The sequence below is a fragment of the Homo sapiens genome, chromosome 9 (genome assembly GCF_000001405.40).
Source record: "Homo sapiens chromosome 9, GRCh38.p14 Primary Assembly".
Taxonomy (NCBI): domain Eukaryota; kingdom Metazoa; phylum Chordata; class Mammalia; order Primates; family Hominidae; genus Homo; species Homo sapiens.
Window position 1 is genome coordinate 93,113,295 of NC_000009.12, and position 7,769 is coordinate 93,121,063.

At 58.4% G+C, this 7,769-nt stretch overlaps 6 annotated features.

Annotated features, from left to right (window-relative positions):
• Nucleotides 107-1,055: an enhancer, noted in NCBI's record as "H3K4me1 hESC enhancer chr9:95875683-95876631 (GRCh37/hg19 assembly coordinates)". NCBI's record gives its function as "activates a minimal SCP1, AML or CMV promoter by ChIP-STARR-seq in primed H9 embryonic stem cells {active_cell/tissue: H9 hESC(primed)}" and the evidence as "EXISTENCE:reporter gene assay evidence [ECO:0000049][PMID:30033119]".
• Nucleotides 1,056-2,003: an enhancer, noted in NCBI's record as "H3K4me1 hESC enhancer chr9:95876632-95877579 (GRCh37/hg19 assembly coordinates)". NCBI's record gives its function as "activates a minimal SCP1, AML or CMV promoter by ChIP-STARR-seq in naive and primed H9 embryonic stem cells {active_cell/tissue: H9 hESC(naive and primed)}" and the evidence as "EXISTENCE:reporter gene assay evidence [ECO:0000049][PMID:30033119]".
• Nucleotides 6,089-6,905: an enhancer, noted in NCBI's record as "H3K4me1 hESC enhancer chr9:95881665-95882481 (GRCh37/hg19 assembly coordinates)". NCBI's record gives its function as "activates a minimal SCP1, AML or CMV promoter by ChIP-STARR-seq in naive H9 embryonic stem cells {active_cell/tissue: H9 hESC(naive)}" and the evidence as "EXISTENCE:reporter gene assay evidence [ECO:0000049][PMID:30033119]".
• Nucleotides 6,823-7,052: an enhancer, noted in NCBI's record as "active region_28615". NCBI's record gives its function as "activates an Ori minimal core promoter by ATAC-STARR-seq in GM12878 lymphoblastoid cells {active_cell/tissue: GM12878}" and the evidence as "EXISTENCE:reporter gene assay evidence [ECO:0000049][PMID:35858748]".
• Nucleotides 6,823-7,721: a biological region, named in NCBI's record as "H3K4me1 hESC enhancer GRCh37_chr9:95882482-95883297".
• Nucleotides 6,906-7,721: an enhancer, noted in NCBI's record as "H3K4me1 hESC enhancer chr9:95882482-95883297 (GRCh37/hg19 assembly coordinates)". NCBI's record gives its function as "activates a minimal SCP1, AML or CMV promoter by ChIP-STARR-seq in naive and primed H9 embryonic stem cells {active_cell/tissue: H9 hESC(naive and primed)}" and the evidence as "EXISTENCE:reporter gene assay evidence [ECO:0000049][PMID:30033119]".

Here is a 7,769-nt window from a genome sequence, read left to right on the forward strand (position 1 = left end):
TCCTCAGTCTCAGGGGTGTTTCAGAGATGACTGCAGCTATGGCTGCTCCAGCTGGGGCTGGCCCTGGTATTCCCAGCATCCCCACATCCAGCTGCTGGCACAGACCCCCCAGACAGGACGCCCTCCACATGGACTCACCTGCCTCGGATAAGCCGCCAGGCACTGCCTCCCCACCTCAGATGTTCCCCACACTGCCCCCTCCTCACACCTCATGTGCCACACACACACACACACACACACACACACACACACACACACACACCCACTCCCCCCACCCCAGCTGCTGAGCCTGGACCGGACACCTGATTCCCTCCCCTTGTCAGCTCCTCCCCCAAGCCTTTTTGTGGGGAAACGAGAATATTTGTCAACCCACAGAATCATCATGAGTTTGCATTTTCCAGGGGGTTTCTGGAGGCACCCAGGCTTTGCCCCAGAAGGTGCTGGGAACCCCTAATGCTGGGGCGATGCCACTGGCAGGGCGAGGCTATGGGCGCAGCTCCTGGAGGGACCCTGCTCAGTCGCAGGGTCCCAGCGCACATGACAGTGGGAACCAGGCTGCCGGTGGAGTATGGAGCTCCAGGACATGACATCCCATTACCATGCAGCCCTGCTGCTTGGGTCATCACAGTGCCTGCCCCTTCAGGGAACTGAGGGCCAGGGGCAAGGAAAGCCAGTGCCTCAGAGCCCTCCCACCTGCCAGGCTGCCATGCGCCCACTGAGTGGGGTGGCCGGGGGACAGCCCTAGCTGCCCTCTCCCTCCTCCACCCTGAGCCATGGGGCCAGGGCCTGTGCTCCAGTCTCAGCCCCTTTGCCCACCTGTGAAATGGGATCCCTCCCTCGGGACTCCTCCTTGAGCCTGCGCTCTGTCACAGCACCCCCTCCCCCTCAGAAATCCTTTTAGGAATTTACCACCTTGCTACAGATGCCTTTAATGCCTGGGTAAAGGAGACACACTTAGTGAAGGTGACAGGTGTCTGGGTGAAGGGTGTAGACAGGTGTGACTTGCCCCTGGAGGGTGAAGGAGGGGTCTCCAGGGACAGTAACATTCTATGACTGCGTCAGCTGAAGGTAGGAAACCTCCGAGGCAGGCAGGGCACAGGCCAGTGTGTGGCCTGGGCAAGTCCTAGGTGGCCCCACCTGAGGCCGTGGAGGACACACGCACCTCCTCAGGGCTGCCTGACATGACCTGAGGCCCTGACTCCCCAGGCCGCTTGGGCAGGGTGTCATTCCTCAGTGAGGGGCTGCCTGGCCCGAGGACTGCTGACTCCCCTGTCCATCTGTGTGCACCCACCGCCCTCCCCCGAGGCCCATGTCAGCCAGGTCCTGAGCCCCACTGTCCTTGGACTGCCCTCCCAGCGCCCAGCTACCCCCAGCTCCATCCCTGACCAACTGGACTCAAGCCTGGGGCTGAGTCTGTGACATCCTCGACCACCAGCCAGGCCTACTCTTGCATCTGCCGCCTCCCGCCTGGTGGTTGCCCCACCCTTTGAGGCTGGAACCTGGAGGAGGGAGAATGATAAGCGCCCATGTCTGTGCCTCAGCCGCCCATCAGGCCCAGCTCTGCTAACCACCGGGCCAACCAGTTCCTGTGACCAGCAGTGAACTAGGTCCCCAGGGGAGGGGAAGGCACCCTTGGGCACGTGAGGCCCTCCTGGCTGCCCTGAGTCCCCGCTTCCACACTACACCCACAGATGGCCGTGTCCTGCGCCTCCACACCTGTGCTGCAGGTGTTCAGGCAAAAACCGTGCTGCTCCCTCGGCTTGGGACTCCTTACCAGCCCCTCTCATCAACTCATCCTTCAGGAATGCCACTTCCTCCAGGAAGCCCTCATGATACCCCAGTAAGAAGAGCAGTTTCCTCCAAGCTACCACACCTGAACATGGGATGCTGTTCTGACATCCAGAACTGTGCAGGAGCTGGTAGGAGATGCTGGGGTCGAGGGAACTCCCATTACCAAAGCTTTGGTGTGAGGGAGGGGTTGTGGGAGAGCTGGAGGTGAAATGCAGAGGGTTGTGAGGGAGAGTGAGTGAAGGAAAGAGGGGTAGTGAGGAAGGGGGTGTGGATGAGGGAGGGAGATGAAGGAAGGGGAATGAGGGGGTGTGTGAGGTAGGTGAGGAAGGAGATGAGGGAGGGGGTGAGGTAGGGGTGAGGGAGGGGGGTGAATGAGGGGTGAGGGAGGGGTGAGGGAGGGGTGAGGGAGAGGTGAGGGAGGGGTGAGGGGGGTGAAGGAGGTAGGTGAAAGGGTGTGAGGGAGAGGTGAGGGAAGGAGTTGGGGGGAGGGAGGGGTGAGAGAGGGAGTGAGGGAGAAGGTGAGGAGGGGTGAGAGAGGGTTAGGGAGAGGTAAGGGAGGGGTAAGGGAGGGGGTGAGGGAGGAGGTAAGGGAGGTGATGAGGGAGGAGTGAGGGAGGGGATGAGGGAGGAGTGAGGGAGGGGATAAGGGAGGGGTGAGAGAGGGGGTGAAGGAGGAGTGAGGGAGGGGTGAGGGAGGGGGTGAGGGAGGGTTGAGGGGGTGAGAGACGGGTGAAGGAGGGAGGGGGTGAGGGAGGGGTGGGGGTGAGAGACGGGTGAAGGAGGGAGGTGGAAGTGGGTGAGGGAGAGGTGAGGGAAGGAGTTGAGGGAGGAGAGAGAGAGTGAAGGAGAGGGTGAAGGAGAGTGAAGGAGGGCATGGGGGGGTGAGGGAGGGGTGAAGGAGGGAGGTGACGGGGTGAGGGAGAGGTGAGGGAAGGAATTGAGGGAGGAGGGAGGGAGGGAGGGGTGAGGGTGGGGGTGAGGAAGGGGTGAGGGAGGGGTGTTGGGGGACCTAGTATGGAACCCAGGAGTATATTTGTCACAGGTCAGCAAGGACACAGGGCACTTGAGCTCAGAGGCCGGAAGTATAGCTGGTCTTGCACAATCCACGGTACCGGTCTGGGAGAAATGACCCTGCTGACTACAAACACAGGCTGGGTTTTGGGGGTGCTGACGCAGCTTTGTTGTGCTGCTGCTTCCAGTTCTGCCGGCTCAGTGCCTTGTGACCGGGGCCGGTGGCTCCTCCATAGAGGGCTCACAGGGGTCCTGCCCACTCAGTGCCTCTCACACCTCTGCACAAACCCTGGGTCTCAGCAGCCACAGGGTTCTGGCCTTCCTTGGGTGAGCCTGGACACCCACCCTCATGCAGACAGGTTCAGAATCTGGGAGGGGGTCCAGCCTCTTGTGCGCCCTACTGTCCCCCACACCTGAGGGGCACTCGGGAGACAGAGTACTGGGGGCATGCTGTTGTCACCACGGCCTGCTGGGGTCATGTCACAGCTCAGAGCCTTGGTCCCCCCAGCTGTAACGTTAGCATGAGAATGGGGACTCTGGCAGTCGAGGAACACCCACCCTCCCGCAGCCTGGCTGGGCAAGTGCTGGATGGGGGTTGCAGTGGGACCCCAAATCTTGATCAGATCTGGGGAGGGGACCCTAGCACTACCTTGCAGGGGGGTGAGGGACCAGGGGTGGGTCTCCACAGACCCTACTGCAGCCACAGGTTTGGAGGGAGTGGGCTACACTGGCCTAAAACTGGCCTGAAGACAGCTGGTGGGAGAACCCGGCTGTTCACTGGCTGGAAGGACGAGGACGTGCTGGGCTGGGGGCCACAGAGGCTGCAGCTGGTGGGGCAGCTTCCTGCGGTCACAACAGGTCAACAGCACCTGGAGTTAGTGTTTCCTCTAAAGTAAAGTATTTGAGAGAAAGAGAAGAAAAATATGAAAGCATTCAGACCTCTAATTTATTATTATTATTTTTTGAGACGGAGTCTGGCTCTTGTCGCCCAGGCTGGAGTACAGTGGGGCGATCTTGGCTCATGCAAGCTCCGCCTCCCAGGTTCACGCCATTCTCCTGCCTCAGCCTCCCGAGTAGCTGGGACTACAGGCACCTGCCACCACGGCCAGCTAATTTTTTTTTTTTTTGTATTTTTAGTAAAGAAGGGGTTTCACTGTGTTAGCCAGGATGGTCTCGATCTCCTGACCTAGTGATCCGCGCGTCTCAGCCTCCCAAAATGGTGGGATTACAGGCATGAGCCACTGCACCCGGCCCCTTTTTTTTTTTGAGTCTTGCCCTGTCTCCCAGGCTGGAGTGCAGTGGTGCGATCTTGGCTCACTGCAACCTTCACCTCCCAGGTTCAAATGATTCTCCTGCCTCCGCTTCCTGAGTAGCTGGGATTACAGGCGCCCACCACCACACCCGGCTTATTTTTGTATTTTAATAGAGACAGGGGTTTCACCATGTTGGCGAGGCTGGTCTCGAACTCCTGACCTCGTGATCTGCCCACTTTGGCGTCCCAAAGTGCTGGGATTACAGGCATGAGCCACCGTGCCTGACCTTTTTTTTTTTTTTTTTGATACAGAAATCTCTCACTCTGTTGCCAAGGCTGCAGTGCAGTGGTGCGATCTCAGTTTGCTGCAACCTGCACCTCCCGGGTTCAAGCAATTCTCGTGCCTCAGCCTCCTGAGTAGCTGGGATTACAGGCATGTGCCACCGTGCCCAGCTAATTTTTTTGTAGTTTTAGTAGAGACAGGGTTTTGCCATGTTGTCCAGGCTGGTCATGAACTCCTGAGCTCAGGTGATCCACCTGTCTAGGCATCCCAAAGTGCTAGGATTACAGGCGTGAGCCACCATGCTGGGCCCAGTCCTATGATTGTTAAGAATAATGCAGTGCCAAAAAAAAAAAAAAAAAAAGAATAATGCAGTGAAGAAACAGGCACTCCACTCTGATTGAACACAGGTGGAAGAGGAGGCCCTAGGAAATGGAGGGGAGGGCTGGGCGTAGGGTGTGGCGTGGGTTCTGTCACAAATGGCCAATACACCCAGAATCAGGTGCTCCTCCCTGCCTGGCCGTACCAGGCCTGGGCCCAGCACCTTGAATGGAGGTCCAGTTGCCTCCCCACTCATCTGACATGAGCTGCCCTCATCCTTACTCTGCACATGGGAATGAATGGGCCAGGTCCTTCAAGGATGAACCAGATAGAAAGCACTGCCCTGGGAGAGGGAGCCTGTAGATCCAACAAGACTTAGAAGACACTTCCAGTGCTTTTAGGTGGGCAGGAATAAGCAGTGTCAAGGACACGCACAGGGCACCTAAGCCATGAAGAGACCTGAGCAAGGGATCCCTGTAAGGGAGTGAGGGGCCGAGACTGGGCTTCGGGCTGGCACAGCGGTACCTCTTCACCTTGGAACAACCCACTGAGATCTATGCCTGCCTTCACATCTATCTTCTATCCGTCATCTATCAAGCTATCCATATGTCATCTATTTCTCATCTATCAGTCAATCTTTTCATCTTTTACTCTTTTCCATCAAATACAACAGCTTCTATCAATCATCTCTATCTAATCATCCATCTGACCATCCAGCATCTATCATCTATTATCTATCTAATCTATCTAATCATCTAATCTATCTGACCATCCATCCATCATCCGTCCGTCCGTCTGTTCATCCATCCATCCATCCACCCACGTATCTACCATCTATCAATCTATCTAATAATCTCTCTGTTATAGGAAAGAGGTTAGGAAACCCTCCCATCACACTCTGCCCAGTTGGTCATCTCCAGCTCTATGCGACTGCCCCTACCTGCCCCCGCACCTCACTGCTTCCCCAACACCAGCCCAGCTCACAGGACTTGTGCAAAGGCTTCCTTGCCCTCAAACCTTCTTCCCAGACTTCTGCATGGCCCCTCGCCATCATCCCAGGTCACCTACTGACCTCCCTGCCCATTCCTCCTGAGCTCCCTGTGTGTCCCTCCATGTCCCCCCCCACCACCCAACTTCGTGGGTGCATCTTGTTCACTTTCCAGGTCCCCCGTGAGAACAGAGCTGAATCCACGGGCAGGACTGGCTGGAGTGGATACATCAGGTCCCAGGACCCCATAGGCGCTGTCAAACCTTCCCAGAAGGTAGCTTGGCTCTGAGCAGCTCCTGGGCCTGTTTTTTGTCTGTCCCTTGGCTGCTGTGACACATGCACAGGGCCTAGCACATACAGGCAAGTGAGTGGGTTCTGCCCCAGACATTTACTGAGCACCTACTATATGCTGGACAGTGCTGAGGACACAGGCTGCAGATAGGTGATGGCATCTGGTAGGAGAGCCAGGTCAGACAAAGGATCCTTAAGTAGGAGAAGCACAGACAGGGATGCGGGTGCCAAGCCATGCCCCCAGCTCCAGCAGAGCCCCTTGGCCCTCAGGAGACCCAGCAGGCAGAACACTCATTCTCGGAGTGCCTGCCCTGGACTTGGGCTGGACTCAGACTCCAGCTCCAGGGGAGAGTCCACCTGGCCGCACTGTCTCTGGCAACATGGACAGTGACTCCATCCCAAGGCACCAGAGCATAAATTGTAATGGGGCCAAGACAGTGATCAGGGAGGGGCGGCATCAGACTGGTCAGGACGGCCTCTGGAGTAACCTTAGAGCTAAGCCCCGGCCAGCCGACGGGGGCCTGGAAGGATGCTCTTCAGGGGGCAGCAGCACAGGCTGAGGACTGAGATGGGAACCCCAGAAGTCAGGGTCAGAGCTGGTGGAGTGGTTGGTGAATAAGCCTGGGAGTTGGTGGGCAGGGAGGTTGGGGGCGGCCAGCATGGGCGTCTGAGTAGGGGAGGCCACCTGGGCATTGGGACTGCAGGGGGTCAGGGCACACACATCCAACTGGGGATGGCCCAGGGCCCAGCACAGTCATCTGGGTTCACCCCTCCGACTCGGTCCCAGTGAACTTCCTCTCCTGGCCAAAGGAGGAGCTAAGACATGTGTTGGCCAACATCCGGCTGCTGGTGTGTGAGGCCAGGCACACAGGGGGCCCTCCCTCCTGCCTGGCTGCCAGCCAGCCCACACTGCAGGCCATGGCCAAATCAGGGACCAAGCGCTGGGCGGCATGCATCTGAGTCAGCGCTGGCCACGCAACCTGCGGCCAATGCTACATTGCCTCCTGTCAGGAGCACATTTCGCACCCACCGTATACCTTCGCAGCTTCCTTTTCAACTCAGCACATCTCAGAACTCATTCCCATATCAACTACTTTTCAAACCCTCTATGGGACAAACACAAAAGTGGAGAGAGCAGTGCCACGAGCTCAGCTTCTCGGCATCCACGCGGTCCACCTACTCAGTAGTTGCTGTTGTTTTCCCCCGGGAGTGCTTTAGAGCAGAGCCCAGTTAGACCCCCTCACTCAGGAGTGCTTCTGCTTTCTGTCACTTCAGCAATGGGGCTATGCAGACCTGATGTCAGCCCAGACACAGGACTGCAGGTGGGGGCCACTCATCCATCCGAGGAACGGGAGCTGGAGCCACCCCAAGTCACGGGGCTCAGCCCAGGTGGGGACAGAAGAAAAGTGATGAGGAAGTAAGTGGGGGCCTCAGTAGTGCTGGAGGCCTTGCCCCCTCCCCTGTGCCCCTGGAAGGCTGCTTGGAGGAGGAAAGGGCAGAGGCTGGCAGGAGATGCACAGGTACCTCAGCTGGAGGGGCCAGGTCGGGGGACCCACAGCGGGGACACAGAGGCAGTGCGGGATGGAGGACGGGGCAGGCTGACCCCACTCCCACCTCAGGCCACCAGATGCTCCACATCCAGGGAGATGAGGGGCTGGGGCTGGGAGGGGCGGTGGGGAGAACAGAATGGGTAGTGGGGGGTTGGGGAAGGATGGGGGACCAAGGAGAAGAGAGTGAAACGCCAGACACTGGCGGCCCGGGAGCCAGGTTTCCACTGGGTGAGGGGTCCTGTGGGGCAGGTGGGCCCTGAGAGTCCAGGGCCTGGTCCCGGCATG